The sequence below is a fragment of the Homo sapiens genome, chromosome 5 (genome assembly GCF_000001405.40).
Source record: "Homo sapiens chromosome 5, GRCh38.p14 Primary Assembly".
In the NCBI taxonomy this organism is placed as follows: domain Eukaryota; kingdom Metazoa; phylum Chordata; class Mammalia; order Primates; family Hominidae; genus Homo; species Homo sapiens.
Window position 1 is genome coordinate 5,504,513 of NC_000005.10, and position 20,792 is coordinate 5,525,304.

The 20,792-nt window shown below is 44.1% G+C and overlaps 4 annotated features.

Moving 5' to 3' along the window:
- Positions 6,483-7,279: an enhancer, noted in NCBI's record as "H3K27ac-H3K4me1 hESC enhancer chr5:5511108-5511904 (GRCh37/hg19 assembly coordinates)". NCBI's record gives its function as "activates a minimal SCP1, AML or CMV promoter by ChIP-STARR-seq in primed H9 embryonic stem cells {active_cell/tissue: H9 hESC(primed)}" and the evidence as "EXISTENCE:reporter gene assay evidence [ECO:0000049][PMID:30033119]".
- Positions 15,778-16,424: an enhancer, noted in NCBI's record as "OCT4-NANOG-H3K27ac hESC enhancer chr5:5520403-5521049 (GRCh37/hg19 assembly coordinates)". NCBI's record gives its function as "activates a minimal SCP1, AML or CMV promoter by ChIP-STARR-seq in naive and primed H9 embryonic stem cells {active_cell/tissue: H9 hESC(naive and primed)}" and the evidence as "EXISTENCE:reporter gene assay evidence [ECO:0000049][PMID:30033119]".
- Positions 16,425-17,070: an enhancer, noted in NCBI's record as "OCT4-NANOG-H3K27ac hESC enhancer chr5:5521050-5521695 (GRCh37/hg19 assembly coordinates)". NCBI's record gives its function as "activates a minimal SCP1, AML or CMV promoter by ChIP-STARR-seq in naive and primed H9 embryonic stem cells {active_cell/tissue: H9 hESC(naive and primed)}" and the evidence as "EXISTENCE:reporter gene assay evidence [ECO:0000049][PMID:30033119]".
- Positions 18,717-18,996: an enhancer, noted in NCBI's record as "active region_22325". NCBI's record gives its function as "activates an Ori minimal core promoter by ATAC-STARR-seq in GM12878 lymphoblastoid cells {active_cell/tissue: GM12878}" and the evidence as "EXISTENCE:reporter gene assay evidence [ECO:0000049][PMID:35858748]".

Consider the following 20,792-nt stretch of genomic DNA (forward strand, 5'->3'; position numbering starts at 1 on the left):
GACAATATCAAATGACCCAACATACATATAATTGGGACCCAAGAAGAAGAGAAAATGAAGAAGAATAAATATTTAATATGATATTTGCTGAGAATAGTCTAAAATTGATAAAAGACATAAACTCACAAATCTAAAACAATGAGAAAACACCAATCAGGAGAAATACAAAGTACCTAAGCACATCATAGCTAATTGGTGACCACCAAAACTAAAGAGCAGATTTTTAAAATGAGCCAGATAAAAGATGCGCATTATGTACAGGAGAACAAAGATAAGTGCAGTCACTGACTTCTCACCAGACTTAATAGAAACAACAGACAGATATCCTCAAAGAGCTGAAAGGATACATGAGAGCATGCATGCACACACATATGTACAAATAACTACCAACCTAGAATTCCACATCTTGCAGAAATAGCCTTCAAAAATGAAGATAAGCCGATTTCAAAATATCAAATACTGTGTAATTTCATTTTTGAAATGAGAAAATTATAGAAAGAGAAGACAGATTCATGGTTACCGGGGTCATGGATGGATGTAGGGAAGAGACAGTTAAGTGTTTCTAAAAAAGGGCAACATGAGAGATCCTGTAGGTGATGGAACTGTTCTACATCTTGACTGTATCAATGTCTATACCTGATTATGATATTGTACTATAATTTTGTAAGTTGTCATCATTGGAGGAGACTCAGTAAAAAATATGTGGGATCTCTCTGCATTTCTTACAATTGTATCTGAATCTACTATTATCTCAAAAAGGAGATTAATTTTAAAATGAAGGGAAAATAAATACATTTTCAAGAGATAAAAGCTAAGAGAATTTCTCTCCATCAGACCTTCTCTTTAAGAAATACCACAATTGGCTGTGTGCAGTGGCTCATGCCTGTAAATCTCAGCACTTTGGGAGGCTGAAGCAGGTAGATCACTTGAGGTCAGGAGTTCAAGATCAGCCTGGCTAACATGGTGAAACCGTGTCTCCACAAAAAAATACAAAAATTAGCTGGGCCTGGTGGTGTGTAGCTGTAGTCCCAGCTACTCGGGAGGCTGCAGCATGAGAATCACTTGAACCCAGGAGGCAGAGGTTGCAGTGAGTCACAATCATGCCACTGCATTCCAGCCTGAGCGACAGAGGGAGACCCTGTCTCAAAAGGAAAAAAAAAAAAAAAAAAGAAATACTACGATAATTGTCTCAGGCTGAAGAAAAATTATAACAGATTTAACCCTGAACCTGTAAGAAGCAATGAAAAGCACCAAAAAAGGGTACATATTTGTATAATTATAAAAAACCTTATAAATTTGTGTATGAGGGAGAAAAAGAGAGTATGTTTATTCTTTAAACTGTGCATATATATCCATGAATGGTAAATTTCATAATTTAAAAAAAGGAAAGAGAGAAAAATATCAAGGGAGGCAATACCATCTGGAGAATGTCTGTCACATGTGCTGTGCTACACACAGGGGGGATGAAAATAAACTTCTATTTTGACAGCAAGGAAACCGACAGTGATAAATAAATGTGGTTAGTAAGTCAAAGTAGTCCCAAGTAGAGGAAGTGGAAAAGCAAGAGGAGGCGGTGAATTACATGAGTTTCTCTAACCCTCTCAGGTGTACTAAAGCCAGTTTTCAAATCCCGTGTTAACAGCCAAATGGAAGCAAGTCTATATTGCTACTCTATTACAGTTGCTCCTGAACAATATGGGTTTGAACCCTGCAGACTTTCTTTTGCTTCTGCCACCCCTAAGACAATCAGAACAATTTATCTTCTCCCTCCTCCTCCTCAGCATACTCAAGAAAATACAACCAGGATGAAGACCTTTGGGAAGATCTGCTTCCACTTAATGAAAAGTAAATACATTTTCTCTTCCTTATGATTTTCTTAATAACATTTTCTGTTTTCTAGATTACTTTATTGTAACAATACAGTATATAATACACACAATATAGAAAACCCGTATTAATTAACTCTGTTATTGGTAAGGCTTTCAGTCAACAGGCTATTAGTAGCTAAATTTGGGGGGAGTCAAAAAATTTTGGACTGTGTAGAGGGTTGGTGCCCTTAACCCCACATTGTTCAATGTTCAAGAGTCAACTGTAATCAATATTTTGTAATTATATTTTAAAATGTGCCTTATGTGAGATCCACTATAAAAAGAACTTGATCACTAATATACTGCATACAAAGTCAATTTGAGATGAATTATGGACCCAAATGTAAAAGCTAAAACAATCATAAAACTTCTAGAAGAAAACACAGAAGATTACGTCTGTGATCTTGGGGCAAGCAAAGATTTTTTAGGAGACAAAAAACATGCTGATAAAATTAAAAAACGATTAATTATACTTCATCAAGATAAAACAATCCGGCCAGGCACAGCGGCTCATGCCTGTAATCTTAGCACTTTGGGAGGCCGGGGTGGGTGGATTGCTTGAGCTCAACAAATACGAAAATTAGCCAGGCATGTGGATCGCTCCTGTACTCTCAGCTGCTTGGGGGATTGAGCTGGGAGGATCTCTTGAGCCCAGAAAGCAGAGGTTGCAGTAAGCCAAGATCATACCACTGCACTCCAGCATGGGTGACAGAATGAGACCCTGTCTCAAAAAAAATAAAATCTTCATCACAAAACATTATCAACAAAATAAACAGTTAAGTCACAGACTGTGAGAATGTATTCATAAGAAAGAGGATTTGTATCCAAATTACATGAAGAACTTCTAAAACTCAATGATAATAAGACAAAGAACACAATTTAAAGGAGAAAAAAAGCAAAGAGGCTGTTCACAAAAGAAGACATAAAAATGGCAAATAAGCACATGAAAACCTGCTCAACTTCATCAACCATCAAGAAAATACAAACTAGACACCCCAGGAGCTCCTACCGCATGCTGCCCTAGAAGACCTGCAATGCCCAAGGCTGACTGCAGCAGGTGCTGGGAGGAATGCGGAGCCCTGGGATGCTTATCTGCTGCTGGCAGGGGTGGAAAATGGTACAGCCACTTTGGCAAACTGTCTGTCTTCTCCTAAAATAATATACTTCCATCCTATGACCCAGTGATGTCATTCCCAGGTATTTGTCAAAAATAAATGCAATATATTCATAAAAGTTCCTTTACAAAAAAGACTTTTATAATAGTCAAACCTGGATTGTTTAATCAACACGTGGGTAAATTATGCTTTGCTCATGCACTTGGATAGCAGTCAGCACACAATATGCATGAGTCTCAAGAGTAACAGGCTAAGAGGAGTACAGCAAACACAGAAGTGTACATCCCAGGTGATTTAATCCATACAAACTTGAAGAAATAAGCACAAGAGACTGAGGGTGACAGAAATCTGATCAGTGCAGGTTTTGCAGTGGAGGACTCACGGGAAGGAGAATTAGGTGCCTTTCTGGGACGGGGAAGATGCTCTGTGTCTTGACAGGCACCGTAAGGTATACTTGAGATCTGAGCACTTCCGTGTATAAATTGCACTAAAATTAAAGTTTCCCTTGGGTGCATCTGCATAATTATGTCACCCCTGAGGCTGAGAGAGCATGGTAGGAACCACCATGGTCCTTGGAGATTCCTCAACAAAACCGTCTAGGAGGAAAAAGGGCAGAATCTGAGAGCAGCGCAAGAACCACCAGCTGTCTGTCCCTCCCTCTTCCCTCTGCAGTTCCCCATGCTGGGAGCTCTTGTGGTTCCAGGACAGCAGCTGATGGACCCCAAGGACTGGCCGCTTTTTGGGGGAAAATCACTGTTCTTGCCCTGTGGAAGTTCTAGAAAGAAGACAATCTATGCCAGCTCGGATGATTAATTTTATGTATCAAATTGCCTGGCCTTTGGTGTATGGTAGTTTGGTCTAACACCAGTTTACATGTTGCTCTGAAGATCTTGTCCAGATGTGATTAACATCTATAATCAGTTCACTCTAACTGAGATGACCCTCAAGGATGTGGGTGAGCTCCATCCAATCAGTGGAAGGCCTGAAGTGCAAAGATGGAGGTTTCCCAAAGAAGAAGAAATTCTGTCTGAAGACTGCAATATGGAAACTTGAGTTTCCAGCCTGCTGCTCTGTGGAATTTGGACTCAAGATGGCAATATCAACTCTTCCCTAAATTTCCAGATTCTGATGCCTGCCCTATGGATTGCAGACTTGCCAACCTCCACAAACATGTAAGACAATTCCTTAAAATTTCTCTCTTTGTCTGTCTATCTGTCTGTCTATCCATCCATCCATGCATCCATCATCTGTATTGTATTAGTCAGGGTTCTCCAGAGACACGGACACACCGAACCCATGTGGGGATCCATCCTCCTGGCTCTGTGTCTCTGGAGAACCATGACTAGTGCACACCAGCTCTGCTTTCCTCTGCACCCACGCAGCATCCCGATTTGGAGGAAGCAGGTGGCCCAGTGTGAAAGGTCATTTATCTGAAAGGAAACATTCCTGAAGTGACTGATGAGTGTGCCTTTCAGCTGGCATATTTGGGGACAGGGGCATTCATATTTCTGAGTCCAGATTCCCTAAAATGGGATGCTGTATTGCTCATCACATAAGTCTTTATGATGTACCTGTTCATTATTTTCTCAACGAAAAATAGTGGTTGGCTGCAAATTGTGAAACTGCAATCTCTCTCCATCTCAGGGTATGTGGGCTTTTTAATCACACGGGCCCTCTTTCTTTTCAAGGGCAATTATGTTGTTGATTACTCCACTGTGAGCTGAGCAGTGACGGAAGGTCAAGTTCCCAAAGTCATGTTCGGATTCATTCCTTGGTTGTGACTGGAAGCCCAGAGTGAACTGAGGTAGGAGGGCTTAGTCCACACCAACACAAGCCCAAGCTTGTGGTCCCACTCACACTCAGGGCTGCTCCTCCCCTCCCTTCCCTGCCCCAGGATTTATTAAGCTCTTGCTTCTGTGTCCCCAAATCAGAAATTCCTCTCAGTAGTCATACCATGGCCTCTTCTAAGGTCCCTGTCCTCATTCTTTCAAGGAAAGTGCGGAACTGTTTGCAGAACCCCACGTGGCTCCAGCTGCAGCCAGCCACCCTCAGTGTGTCAGACCATGGGGTTGAATGAAGAGAACCACATCCAGAATGGGACAAGCTACAGGTTCTGGAACAGAAGGGACATCAGAGTGGGAGTTGAGGGGGAAGAGGGCAGGAGGAGCAGCTCTCTCATTCTTCTGAGGGACGTTCAATTGTCCTGCTGTGGACTGTGATGAACCCACCTTCATCTGTCCTCCATCACTTTGCCCCTGCTTTTTCCACTCCCCTTGTCTCTTCTTCCCTCCTTTTCAAAGTCACAGAGAGGTGAGGAGTCTGGGTGGCGCCAGGAAGGCTCATCCATTTCCTAACACCCCTCACTGTCAGCGCTGACACCACGAAAGCCTGCAGCCTCATACTAGCCGTGAATCCATGTCCTCTGCTGATCTGATCCGGAGTGCGTTTATGTCACTGTCTCTACAAAGCACATGACCACCTGGATTTTACCCGTTGCTCTGGGTTGCCTGTTCGTCAGGGCCCTTGGGGAAGACACCCCCCACTCTCCCACTCTGCCTGTGAATACCCCCCACTGGGTCCAGCGCCTCTGGGCGCACCCTTGCTGTTCCACCCCTAGGACTTTGCAGAATTCCAGAGCCAGGGATTTCCTTCTCTTTCTCTTGGATAAGCACTGAGCTTTCCCCACACAGCCTAGGACCCGCCCCTCTTTTCAGCTTTCCTCTCGCCCTTTCTTAGGGAGGCTCGCTGTCTACCTTCCCCCTCCACCCTGGCAGGTGCTGCGCCCCTCAGTTCTGCGTGAAGACCCTACACACTTCCTTCATTGACTTCTGCTCCTTCCGGTCGGCTATCACCTGGACCCTCCTGGACTGGGCTTTTGCCTAAGAACTTTCCAAAAACCACACAAAATAGTGAATGGCAGTTTCTCCAATAACAATTCCAAATTATCTGAAAATAGCAAACCATGGCTAATTTCTAATGAACAATAATACTCTTCTCTATGACTGAAAGGGAAGTGCCAAGCACAGATGTGTGAGAGGCCACAGATGCATGGCCCTGAGCTGAGGGGGAAAAGCGGAATGACTCTGAGCTGATGTACGGCTCAGTTCAAACAGTCAGCATGGATGGTAATTGCTATCTGTTTTCCTGAGATCGGAAAGTTGCTTGTAATACGGGTAGGTAAAAAGAATCAAATATAATAGAACTGAATAACTTTTCAGTACTAGAATAAAATCAATATGTTGCAAGTAATTTCAGAAGCAACAGCAGCTTCCAAGAATAACTATTTATCAGGATGGGCACTTACGCATGTTTAGGGATCTTGTGAAATAATTTAGTGGTGTTTGGTCAACAGTCAACCGTTCATTCATTTTGCTGTTCCTGAGCCTCCATTGCACACACGGCAAAGTGCTCACAGGTGCTTGCATGGAAGGATTCCCTCCGCAGCTAGAAACTTACATTTAGGGATGATCACGTGTTACAAAATTATGTTTACATTTAAAACGCCAATATTCTATCACGATTGTAAACACAGATGGAGAGCAAGGGAAGCCACTGTTTATTCACCACTTGCCTGTGCTCTCTCTGTTCTTGTGACCTGATGGATTGTGCAGGGTCGTAGTAAGGAAAGGGAGGTTGTCCTGGGGCCAGGTCGCTGAGTATGCAGTGGGCCAGGTCCCACTCTGCAGCCCCTAAGGGCCTCACCCATAATTTGACCTTGAAGAGAAACCTCTTCAAGTCTCTCTGCCTCACTCTTCTCTTCTGTGAAACAAGGAGGACAACAGAACCGCCCTCACAGGTAAACGAAGAATTGGAGATATTGAACGTAAAAGTGCACAGCACGATATCAAGGATACAGGAAATGGGCAATAAATGCTGGCTTCTCTATGCTTGATTCTCACAAGCCCATGAGATAGAGCTGAGTGCTTGAAACCCATCCTGCACTCCCCAGAAGGCAAAGCCTGGGCAAGGCTGCCCAGCTCCAAGTGGGGGCCCTGGAATTAAACCCTACTTTGCTGTTCTGTCCTCTGCTTGAACTGCCCCCTTCGCTACACAGGTCCCATCCTTAAGGGCAAACATCTGCGGAGCTGCAGAGTGGGACCCACTACTTAGATCCCTTGTGGGGTCAGCCCAGGACGCTTGCACCAGGCAAACACCTTCTGTGGTTCCAGCCAAATGGTATTAAAAGCCACCATGGTGTTTTCAGTTGTTTTCAAAGGCCCTCAGCAGAAACCAGGGCTTTCCAAATGGGGAGTGTTTGTCTCTGTGGAAGGAAAGCATGTTGGAAAACACCAGCAATCTTTTCAAAGGGCACCTGGACATGAGAGGTCACTTTCTGTTCCTTTGTAGTCTCGATGTAAACAAGAGAATTCTTCAGAAAATGGTGTGGAAAGTTGTCCCCAGATCCCCTGAGATCTTACAAAATGTTATATTTTTCACGTGACTGAGTTAGATTTACTACGAGAACTGAAGGTGGAAGAATTCACACAGGGGCACATGATAGTTACAAGGAAGCGATGGCCCCGGGTCGCAGGCCCATAGCTGGCCCTCTGGCTGCCCTCAGCACTGCACAGAATCCTGGAGAGCAGGGACACAGGAGGTGAGGCAGGGCGTGGACCCCGTGGCCGGAGGGCCAGCGGCCGTGGGAGAACAATGCTCTGAGACAGTGTCATGTGGCATTTGTGTGGCTTCTCTCCTTCTCTCCACATCAGGCTACCCTCATGAGTGGCTGGATTTACCTGGGGCCAGTGCTTTGAAAGTGGAGAGATGAATCATTTTCTGTTATATTGTTGTGCTCATGAAGTAGAATCACACATAGGAAATCACCATGCACATGGTAGATGAGTAGACAAATAAAAGTGAGTTTGGGTAATGGACAAACCACACCTGAGGTATCGATGTTGCTTATTCTATAAACTTAGAATACTCCGTGTGTCCAATTCCTGGCGAAGCAGAATATAAAATTGCGAGATGTGAGTAACAAGTACTTGAATGCGATGTGGGGGCAAATTAGATTTCTTTCTGCAAGTCCAGTAACTTCAAGAATCGTGAATGACATAGGCTCCCAATGCCAATGCAGAAGACAGCCTGAATTAAATGAACTATTTTATCATCTGTTACTCTCTGGTCCTCTTGTTTAGGAGACTTAATTGGTGCTTTATCCTGTATTGTTCTTGGAAAAACCAAGTAGCTGATGATATCAGTTTCAACCGTGTGACGCATTTTTAATCAGATATTTACTTACATTAATGTGCTACTGCCAAAACCAAGGCTCACATAAACCAGATGTTTTTATCACGAGCCTTTGGTATCTGGAGAAAAAAAAAATAGGACAGTACAGCATGCTGGCCATTAAACAGAGGGAATTTCAAGGAAAACCATCTTTATAACGTTGTTTTGAATATTCCCATAAATTTCTTAGTTTTAGGAGCTACATTTGCCTAAACAAGTGGAAATGGTAGTTATTTTGGAAAATAATGGTAAGGATATTTGAATCTGTTTGGCCAAATTCATTCTTACTCCAGATTTTTTAATAATATTTTTTTCTAACGCTATTGATCTAAAGCTTGTGTTCTAACCTCTAGCCATCCTCTGAGGGAACCACGGGTGATAAACAAGGTGGAATTCCATCATATTGATGCCACTGGTCAAGACTGTTTTACCCACTTTCTTTTTTTTTAAATTTTCTTTTTTAGGGGATGGGAGCAGAGTCTCACTCTGTTGCCCAGGCTGGAGTGCAGTGGCTCACTGCTACCTCCGCCTCCTGGGTTCAAGCAGTTGTCCTGTCTCAGCCTCCGGAGTGGCTGGGACTACAGGTGCACACCACCACGCATGGCTAATTTTTGTACTTTTAGTACAGATGGGGTTTCTCCATGTTGGCCAGGCTGGTCTTGAACTCCTGACCTCAGGTGATCTGCCCACCTTGGCCTCCCAAAGTGCTGGGATTACAGGTGTGAGCCGCCATGCCTGGCTTATTTTTTCTCTTTCTTAATGACTCTCGTCTGGTCTTTCCAATACCCTGGTCTAATTCTGAGATCCCTGCATTTGCTTGGAGTTTCTCCTCTGCTTTTGGCTCTCCTCCCAGCCTTCATGCATGTGGGCCTTGCCATGGGCTCCGTGTCTCCCTTTCCCGGCATTGCTCCATCTCTCTTTTGCTCTGCCTCACTCTTTCCCTCCCCAAGGCTTGACAACCATTCCTTTGCATTTCCCTTTTCTTCTAAGGAATAATTTATCTGTTTTTGTATCTGGTGTTATGATGAACCTCTTATTCCAGCAACCCTTCTTGTCACTCCACATCTACCTGAATTTGTGAGATAAATAAAGCTATGAGTTTTATACTTCAAGTCAATATTTTTCTTAATTGTCTGTTTAAGTTTAGCTGGAGAGGGTACAGTGATACAAGCAGGCTCATATATTATTGGTGTTACCATGAGTTGTTATAACTTTTTGAAAAGAGATGTGGCAATATGCCTCAAGAGCCTTAAGTCATTAATCCTCTTTAACCCAGTAACTGAACTTCTGAAAATCTATCATGTGCAACAAATCTCCAACTGGAGCATAAAATCACACACAAAGATATTTATAATAGCATTATTCATAATTGTCCCAAATGCAAAATAATCTAAACATCCCATAATAGTAAAATGTCCTGTAATAGTGAAATAATCTTTAAAATGGCAGTAAATAAACCAAAATATTATAATGAGAAAAATATTTGTGTCAAATTGAGTGACTGGTAAAATGGAAGACTTGTGTAAGGACTTCCTTGGGATTGAGGGGTCTGTCTGGAAATGGATGGAGAGTGGGGGCTCTGGACAAGTTCGAGGAACGTGGCTGACAGTGGTGTAGAGGGTTGTGCTTACTAAGGGCTGTGGAAGTGGCCTGAGCCTGAGTGGTGCAGGGCAGCAGGCGTCTTATTATGCTCCCAAACCATGTGGGCCAGGAAATTATACAGAGCACAGCGGGAGCACAGGGGCCTCATTCAGAAAGACGAATGGCTGGAGTGACCTGAGACTGGGCCCTGGAACCATCTGGAAGCTTCTTCACTCAGATGTGTGGTGCCTGGGCTGGGATGACTCGGTACCAGCCTCCACTCCCATGGCTGAGCAAGTGTGAGCACATGGCATCTCCAAGTGACCTGGGCTGGGTCTCGAGGAGTGCTCCAAAAGCCACTGCTGCTCGAGGCCATGTGGAGGCTGCGTGGCTGTGTATGGCTTCACTTCAGGAGCCCTAGGGCATCATCAGCGCCACCCACTGCATTGCTTGATTGATTTAAGGGGAGAGGACATGGACCCAGTCCCTTGAAGGGAGGAGTGTTAAAGAAGTTGTGACTTTTTTATTTGAAGCCCCACATTGGGAAAGGGGTAACATTCAATTTGGCTTTTATCTATGAAGACCTAAGCACCAAGGCCCAGGTGGATGGAGGAGACATCACCAATGAGAGTGCCCATGGATCAGGAAACTTTAGAAATTCATCATGGAGCTAAAGTCTCTTTTCCTCTGCCCAGTGCCCATGTGTTCAGTAAGAGGAGAACTCATGACACAAAGGGGCTTTAATGTCAAACGCTTGATTCAGTGCGCTCTCAGATCTTCATTCCTTTTCTCCACAACCTCACCAGCATCTGCTATTATTTGACTGTTGAAAAGGGAGCACTTCTACACTCTTGGTGGGAGTGTAAATGAGTTCAGCCATCATGGAAAGTAGTGTGGCGATCTCTCAAATAACTTAAAACAGAATTATCATTCTACCAAGCAATCTCATTACTGGCTGTATACCCCAATGAATATAAATTTTTCTACCACAGAGACACACGCACTTGTATGTTCATTGCAGCACTATTTACAATAGCAAATATATGGAATCAACCTGAATGCCTAGCGACAGTAGACTGAATAAAGAAAATATGTTACATATACACCATGGAATACTACGCAGGTGTAAAACAGAACAAGATCATGTGCTTTTTGCAGCAACATGAATGGAGCTGGAGACCATAATCCTAGGCAGATGCAGGAACAGAAAATCAAATTGTCAGGCCTCTGAGCCCAAGCCAAGCCATTGCATCCCCTGTGACTTGCATGTATATGCCCAGATGGCCTGAAGTAACTGAAGAATCACAAAAGAAGTGAACATGCCCTGCCCCACCTTAATTGATGACATTCCACCATAAAAGAAGTGTAAATGGCCAGTCCTTGCCTTAAATGATGATATTACCTTGTGAAAGTCTTTTCCTGGCTCATCCTGGCTCAAAAAGCTCCCCCACTGAGCACCTTGCGACCCCCACTCCTGCCCGCCAGAGAACAAACCCCCTTTGACTGTAATTTTCCTTTACCTACCCAAATCCTATAAAACAGCCCCACCCTTATCTCCCTTCGCTGACTCTCTTTTCAGACTCAGCCCGCCTGCACCCAGGTGAAATAAACAGCCATGTTGCTCACACAAACCCTGTTTGGTGGTCTCTTCACACAGACGTGCATGAAATTTGGTGCCGTGACTCGGATCGGGGGACCTCCCTTGGGAGATCAATCCCCTGTCCTCCTGCTCTTTGCTCCATGAGAAAGATCCACCTACGACCTCAGGTCCTCAGACCGACCAGCCCAAGAAACATCTCACCAATTTCAAATCCGGTAAGCGGCCTCTTTTTACTCTCTTCTCCAGCTTCCCTCACTATCCCTCAACCTCTTTCTCCTTTCAATCTTGGCGCCACACTTCAATATCTCCCTTCTCTTAATTTCAATTCCTTTCATTTTCTGGTAGAGACAAAGGAGACACGTTTTATCTGTGGACCCAAAACTCCGGCGCCGGTCACGGACTGGGAAGGCAGCCTTCCCTTGGTGTTTAACCATTGCAGGGACGCCTCTCTGATTATTCACCCATGTTTCAAAGATGTCAGACCACACAGGGATGCCTGCCTTGGTCCTTCACCCTTAGCAGCAAGTACCGCTTTTCTGGGGAAGGGGCAAGTACCCCAACCCCTTCTCTCCTTGTCTCTACCCCTTCTCTGCTTTTCTGGGAGAGGGGCATGTACCCCTCAACCCCTTCTCCTTCACCCTTAGCGGCAAGTCCCGCTTTTCTGGGAGAGGGGCAAGTACCCCTCAACCCCTTCTCCTTCACGCTTAGTGGCAAGTCCTTTTCTAGGGGGCAAGAACCGCCAATCCCTTATTTCCATGCCCCGACCTCTTATCTCTGTGCCCCATCCCTTATTTCTGCACCCCAACCCCTTATTTCCACTCCCCAACCCCTTTCCTGCTTTTCTGGAAGGTAAGAACCCCTGAACCCCTTCCCTCCGTGTCTCTACTCTCTGTTTTCTCTAGGCTTGCTTCCTTCACTGTAGGCAACCTTCCACCCTCCATTTCTCCTCCTTCTCCCTTGGCCTGTGTTCTCAAAAACTTGAAACCTCTTCAACTCACACCTACCTAAAACCTAAATGCCTTATGTTCTTCTGCAATGCCGCTTGACCCCAATACAAACTCGACAGTAGTTCTGAATAGCTGGAAAATGACACTTTCAATTTTTCCATCCTACAAGATCTAAATAATTCTTGTCGTAAAATAGGCAAATGGTCTGAGGTGCCTGACGTCCAGGCATTCTTTTACACATCAGTCCCTTCCTCATCTCTGTGCCCAGTGCAACTCGTCCAAAATCTTCCTTCTTTCCCTCCCGCCTATCCCCTCAGTCCCAACCCCAAGTGTCGCTGAGGGTTTCTAATCTTCCTTTTCTACAGACCCATCTGACCTCTCCCCTCCTCGCCAGGCCAAGCTAGGTCCCAATTCTTCCTCAGCCTCCGCTCCTCCACCCTGTAATCTTTTTATCACCTCCCCTCCTCACACCTGCTCTGGCTTACAGTTTCATTCTGTGACTAGCCCTCCCCCACCTGCCCAGCATTTACTCTTAAAAAGGTGGCTGGAGCCAAAGGCATAGTCAAGGTTAATGCTCCTTTTTCTTTATCCCAAATCAGAAGCGTTTAGGCTTTTTTATCAAATATAAAAAGCCAGCCCAGTTCATGGCTCGTTCGGCAGCAACCCTGAGATGCTTTACAGCCCTAGACCCTAAAAGGTCAAAAGGCCATCTTATTCTCAATATACATTTTATTACCCAATATGCTCCTGACATTAAATAAAACTCCAAAAATTAGCATCTGGCCCTCAAACCCCACAACAGGACTTAATTAACCTCACCTTCAATGTGTACAATAATAAAAAAAAAAGTTGCAATTCCTTGCCTCCACTGTGAGACAAACCCCAGCCACATCTCCAGCACACAAGAACTTCCAAACGCCTGAACCACAGCAGCCAGGCGTTCCTCCAGAACCTCCTCCCACAGGAGCTTGCTACAAGTGCCCGAAATCTGACCACCAGGCCAAGGAATGCCTGAAGCCCAGGATTCCTCCTAAGCCATGTCCCATCTGTGCGGGACCCCGCTGGAAATCGGACTGTTCAACTCACCTGGCAGCCACTCCCAGAGCCCCTGGAACTCTGGCCCAAGGCTCTCTGACTGACTTCTTCTTGGCTTAGCGGCTGAAACTGATGCTGCCTGATCACTCGGAAGCACCGTAGACCATCACGGATGCCGAGCTTTAGGTAACTCTCACAGTGGAAGGTAAGTCCGTCCCCTTCTTAATCAATACGGAGGCTACCCACTCCACATTACCTTCTTTTCAAGGGCCTGTTTCCCTTGCCTCCATAACTGTTGTGGGTATTGACAGCCAGGCTTCTAAACCTCTTAAACTCCCCAACTCTGGTGCCAACTTAGACAATACTCTTTTATGCACTGTCTTTTAGTTATCCCCACCTGCCCAGTTCCCTTATTAGGCTGAGATATTTTAACCAAATTATCTGCTTCCCTGACTATTCCTGGACTATAGCCACATCTCATTGCTGCCCTTCTTCCCAATCCAAAGCCTCCTTTGCATCCTCCTCTTGTATTCCCCCACCTTAACCCACAAGTATAAGATACCTCTACTCCCTCCTTGGTGACCGATCATGCACCCCTTACCATCTCATTAAAACTGAATCGCCCTTATCCCGCTCAACGCCAATATCCCACCCCACAGCATGCTTTAAAAGGATTAAAGCCTGTTATCACTCGCCTGCTACAGCATGGGCTTCTAAAACCTATAAACTCTCCTTACCATTCCCCCATTTTACCTGTCCTAAAACCAGACAAGGCTTACAAGTTAGTTCAGCATCTGCGCCTTATCAACCAAATTGTTTTGCCTATCTACCCCATGGTGCCAAACCCATATACTCTCCTATCCTCAATACCTCCCTCTACTACCCGTTATTCTGTTCTAGATCTCAAACATGCTTTATTTACTATTCCTTTGCACCCTTCATCCCAGCCTCTCTTTGCTTTCACTTAGACTGACCCTGACACCCATTAGACTCAGCAAATTACTTGGGCTGTACTGCCGCAAGGCTTCAGAGACAGTCCCCATTACTTCAGTCAAGCCCAAATTTCAACCTCATCTGTTACCTATCTCAGCATAATTCTCATAAAAACACAGGTGCTCTCCCTGCTGATCGTGTCCTATTAATCTCCCAAACCTCAATTCCTCACAAAACAACAACTCCTTTCCTTCCTAGGCATGGTTAGTGCAGTCAGAATTCTTACACAAGAGCCAGGACCACACCGTGTAGCCTTTCTGTCCAAACAACTTGACCTTACTGTTTTAGCCTAGCCCTCATGTCTGTGTGCAGTGGCTGCCGCTGCTTTAATACTGTTAGAGGCCCTAAAAATCACAAACTATGCTCAACTCACTCTCTACATTTCTCATAACTTCCAAAATCTATTTTCTTCCTCATACCTGATGCATATACTTTCTGCTCCCCGGCTCCTTCAGCTGTACTCACTCTTTAAGTCCCACAATTAGCATTGTTCCTGGGCCGGACTTCAATCCAGCCTCCCACATTATTCCTGATACCACACCTGACCCCCATGACTGTATCTCTCTGATCCACCTGATATTCACCCCATTTCCCCATATTTCCTTCTTTCCTCTTCCTCACCCTGGTCACGCTTCATTTATTGATGGCAGTTCCACCAGGCCTAATCACCACACACCGGCAAAGGCAGGTTATGCTATAGTACAAGCCACTAGCCCGCCTCTCAGAACCTCTCATTTCCTTTCCATCGTGGAAATCTATCCTCAAGGAAATAACTTCTCAGTGTTCCATCTGCTATTCTACTACTACTCAGGGATTATTCAGGCCCCCTCCCTTCCCTACACATCAAGCTCGAGGATTTGCCCTCACCCAGGACTGGCAAATTAGCTTTACTCAACATGCCCTGAGTCAGATAACTAAAATACCTCTTAGTCTAGGTAGACACTTTCACTGGATAGATACAGGCCTTTCCTACAGGGTCTGAGAAGGCCACCGCAGTCATTTCTTTCCTTCTGTCAGACATAATTCCTCAGTTTAGCCTTCCCACCTCTATACAGTCTGATAACAGACCAGCCTTTATTAGTCAAATCAGCCAAGCAGTTTTTCAGGCTCTTAGTATTCAGTGAAACCTTTATATCCCTTACGGTCCTCCGCCTTCAGGAAAAGTAGAACGGACTAAAGGTCTTTTAAAAACACACCTCCCCAAGCTCAGCCACCAACTTAAAAAGGACTGGACAATACTTTTACCACTTTCCCTTCTCAGAAGTCAGACCTGTCCTCAGAATGCTACAGGGTACAGCCCATTTAAGCTCCTGTGTAGACGCTCCTTTTTATTAGGCCCCAGTCTCATTCTAGACACCAGACCAACTTAGACTGTGCCCCAAAAAACTTGTCATCCCTCCTATCTTTTGTCTAGTCATACTCCTAATCACCATTCTCAACTACTCATACATGCCCTGCTCTTGTTTACACTGCTGGTTTACACTGTTTCTCCAAGCCATCACAGCTGATATCTACCTTTTATACCTGTTTTTCTCCTTCTCTTATTCCATTTCATTTCTCAATTCATCCAAAACCATATCCAGGCCATCACCAATCATTCTATACGACAAATGTTTCTTCTAACAGTCCCACAATATCTCCCCTTACCACAAGACCTCCCTTCAGCTTAATCTCTCCCACTCTAGGTTCCCACACTGCCCCTAATCCTGCTTGAAGCAGCCCTGAGAAACATCGCCCATTCTCTCTCCATACCACCCCCCAAAAATTTTCGCCGCCCCAACACTTCAACACTATTTTGTTTTATTTTTCTTATTAATATAAGAAGGCAGGAATGTCAGGCCTCTGAGCCCAAGCCAAGCCATCGCATCCCCTGTGACTTGCAGGTACATGCCCAGATGGCCTGAAGTAACTGAAGAATCACAAAAGAAGTGAATATGCCCTGCCCCAGCTTAACTGATGACATTCCACCACAAAAGAAGTGTAAATGGCCAGTCCTTGCCTTAAATGATGATATTACCTTGTGAAAGTCCTTTTCCTGACTCATCCTGGCTCAAAAAGCTCCCCCACTGAGCACCTTGCGACCCCCCACTCCTGCCCACCAGAGAACAAACCCCCTTTGACTGTAATTTTCCTTTACCTACCCAAATCCTATAAAACAGCCCCACCGTTATCTCCCTTCACTGACTCTCTTTTCGGACTCAGCCCGCCTGCACCCAGGTGAAATAAACAGCCATGTTGCTCACACAAAGCCTGTTTGGTGGTCTCTTCACACGGATGCGCATGAAACAAATACCACATGTTCTCACTTATAAATGGGAGCGAAACACTGAGTCTACACGGACACAAAGAATGGAAGGACAGACACTGGGGCCTCCTGGAGGGTGGGAGGAGGAAGAGGATCAAAAAACTACCTTTGGATACTATGCTTAGTACCTGCGTGATGAAATAATCTGTCCACCAAACCCTTATGATACACAATTTACCTGTATAACAAACCAGTACATGTACCCCTGAACCTAAATAAAGGTTACAAAATAGAAAATAAATAAACAATGAAAAGAAACATTTTAATTTTGGGAAAAACAAGACCTTGATTCCAGGACAGCTATTGAGTAAAACAGCCCATCTTGGATAGTCTGAAAATATTTCCATTTAAAGTTGGATGAATTTGCATCAGACTCTTGGTTTCTATGATTCATTCATAGAAGTCATTTTCTCTTTTCCTGATCTTTGAAGATTTATAACCAGAGATTAAAATCCATGCCACGATTCCTGAGATGAATTGTTTTACTATCGAATGCTCATTATATACAATCCCTGAAAGGGTCCAGGAAATGGACCTGCATATATTATAGACACAGTTTGTTGGTATCTATCTGAGGATTCCAGGAAAAAAATAATATGAAGGATCAGTCAATACATGAAATTTTGAAAGAAATATTTCTCCCTTTTTTGCCTCTTTGAATTTGAGAGCAAATTATAAGTATTTTAGAAATGAAATTCATGCTCATTCAGTAATCATTCAGAATGTTTATTTCCAAATCTCTTGATTCCATGTTCTCCCATGATATTGTAACTGCCCAGTGGGTTCACCTTGCCCGCTGCCTAGACAGAGCCGATTCATCAAGAGAGGGGGCCATAATCCTAAGCAGATGCAGGAACAGAAAACCAATAGAGAAAGAGTAATTCATACAGAGCCAGCTGTTTGGGAGACCGAAGTTTTATTATTACTCAAATCAGTCTCCTCAAACCTCCTAGTTTAGGGGTTTTTCATAGGCAGTTTGGGAGAATAGGTTGGGGTGGCCAGGTAACAGGTGCTTACTGCTGATTGATTGGGGCAGAGATGAAATCATAGGGGGTGGAAGCTGTCCTCCTGCAGGCTGAATTGCTTCTGGGTGGGGCCACAGGAGTGGGGTTGGTGGGTCCAAGTGGAGCCATGGGTGTCAGACATGTAAAAAAAAAAAAAACTGAAAAGATATCTCAAAAGGCCAATCTTAGGTTCTAGGATACTGATATTATTTGCAGGAGCAGTTAGGTCAGTTGTATGTGGCTGACAATCGTTTCTGCCTGCACCTTAGCAGGGTTAAGGTTCCTCTGCTCCTTCTAGCCTGCCAACCTCTCATTAGCTGGGGAGGGCTATTATCATTTAAACTATGAACTAAATGTCTCCCAAAGCTAGCCCAGGAATAATCAAAGGCAGCTGGGGGTGGTGAAGAGACTAAAGCTAGGAGCGGGGTTGAGCTAGAACAGATCTCCCCCATTGTCACAACCTTCTTGCTGATTCTAATTTTGGAAAGGCAGTTTCAATATTTTCTTTGAGTCTTTCCAATAGTGTGTATCTTATCCTGTCTTGGATTATTGTTTTTGTCCACTTATCTAACTCATTATGTGCTAGCTCAAATATGCTTAAATGATATTCTATACAGTTAGTATAGGGCTCAAGCAAATGTTTGTTTAACTGAATTAAACTCCCTTTTTCCTGCCTTCTTTTTCGATAGGCACAATGATTAGCAGCTAAAGTTTTCAATGATGATGGCATCTTTTATTTCTTCATATGCTTGCAACATTAACTACTTATGTTAAGTCCACTTCTAATATTAAGTTAATCTATATTCATAACCATTCATAACTTTATCTTTTACTTATGTTTTATAAAATATTCTGAATGACATGTTTAATTTTTTATCATGAGTGGACAGGATCATTTCTGTTGGGAGCATTCATTGTGTTTTTTTGAGAGCAATGCTATAAATATTTTTGTCTAGTTCATTTGTTTAACATGATTCTCTGATTACTGGGCACCGACTTGTCCTTCTTCCAACCGTTGGAAAGTTGAGCAGGAATCGCAGCAGCGGTTGTCATAGGTGTTAGAACCAGAGTGACTCCATTTTGGGTGAGGGCTAGGAAATGGAAACTGAGACTCCATTTTGAGTGAGGGCTAGGAAAATGAAACTGCGACTCCATTTTGAGTGAGGGCTGGAAAATGAAACTGAGACTCCATTTTGAGTGAGGGCTGGAAAATGAAACTGGACTTTATTTTGAGTGAGGGCTAGAAAATGAAACTGAGACTTGCTAGGCTGCATTCTCAGAAAGTTAGGCATTCCGAGGCTCTAGATGTTTAAGGTTAAGGGGACAAATTAATAATGTTTACTAAACAAACCCAAACTTGGGAGTGTCCAGATATCCTGATATCTGGACATCAAAGGCATTCCTAATTTTGCTTTAAAGATAAGAGTATTGAATCTTGCAAAATACAGTAGTTAAGAAAATTAATCCTTTATCACAAATCCTTGTAGCAGAGCACACCTCCCCATAGATACAAGCATTGTACCTAGGGTGGATGTGTTCCTCCTCTTACTTTCAGGAACATCCTACTCAATGGAGTAGCTGTCCTTTCACCACTTTACTTTCCTAATAAACTTGCTTTGACTTTGCACTGTGGAATAGCCCTGAATTCTTTCTTGCGTGAGATCCAAGAACCCTCTCTTGGGGTCTGGATCAGAAACCTTTCCTGTAACACGGTTACTGAGGACCTGTGGATGATGTGGACAAATCCTGTTACATTCCCTGCTGCCGCTTTCTCACCTGTTAAGTGGGATTTATAATACCTGTCTTATCTACATCATGAAGTTGTTTTGGGAAAAAGTGAAAAAGTAACGATGTACTTTGACATGCCCAAGCACATTCTGGAATGATTATGATGATACGCTTCTTCTAAGGAGAGAAGTGGCAAACGCACAAGCCCTGTGCTGTGGCTGTGGCTGACCCCATTCTTCACAGTGACCTTCTCCTGGACCTTGATTCAGCCTCAGAAGCTTTCTCAACACAGTACCAAGAGATTAAATTTGGCACAGGATGTAAATTTGCTTTAGAAAGCATGTTTTAGGCGACCCAAGAGATGTTCAATATGATTGAGCTGAAATACTCTATGCAGAGGGTATTTGCAAAAAGTACTGGGTCCCTGGCTTCTTCCCCGCCCTTGCCCACACACGTCTACAAGCACATCTCTGTTCACTCACACAGAGGCCAGTCCCTCAACCTCGCTGTCTGCTTTTTACAAAAAGCTTCCCCTTCTTGCCCTTTCTCCTTGCCCTGAGACCCAACCTTCCCTCTCAGGCTCACTGATGGAGTCCAGAGCACAGACACAGCCTGGGGTCAGAGGGAGCAAGCACAGGTGGCTTCTGAACAAGGTTTCATCTCCTACTCATGCTCCTAGCTGAATCTCCAGAGGAAATGGATTATAAATAAATGTCTGTAAGATTGACTTGCTTGATTACATTTCTCTAATCTGTCATTTTGCTTTTTAAATTAAAATTCTTTTTTTTCCCCCTGAAAACACATTATTACATTTGTGGTTAGGTTGTACATCTTGAAACCCTTTATTCTGCCCCAACCACTACTTGGAAACTTATAATTAAGTAACCTGGCATGCTTTCATAAGAAGTGGAAATTTTCTAAGAACACAATGTGTTGGTGGATGTATCCTGAGAGAGATTTCCTAGTTAAAAAAAAATTAACTCTATAGGCCCTCTGTGACAGAAAGGGGTAGAATTTCTTTCTTTTTTTTTTTTTTTTTTGAGATGGAGTTTCACTCTTGTTGCCCAGGCTGGAGTGCAATGGCGCAATCTTGGCTCACTGCAACCTCCGCCTCCCGGGTTCAAGTGATTCTCCTGCCTCAGCCTCCCGAGTAGCTGGGATTACAGGCATGAGCCACCATGTCTGGCTAATTTTGTGTTTTTAGTAAAGATGGGATTTCTCCATGTTGGCCAGGCTGGTCTCGAACTCCTGACCTCAGGTGATCCACCTGCCTCAGCCTCCCAAACTGCTGGGATTACAGGCATGAGCCACAGCACCTGGCCAGAAAGAGGTAGAAGTTTCAAAACCAAAGAAAAGTTTGTTAAGGAAATTAACACAAGAGTAACAT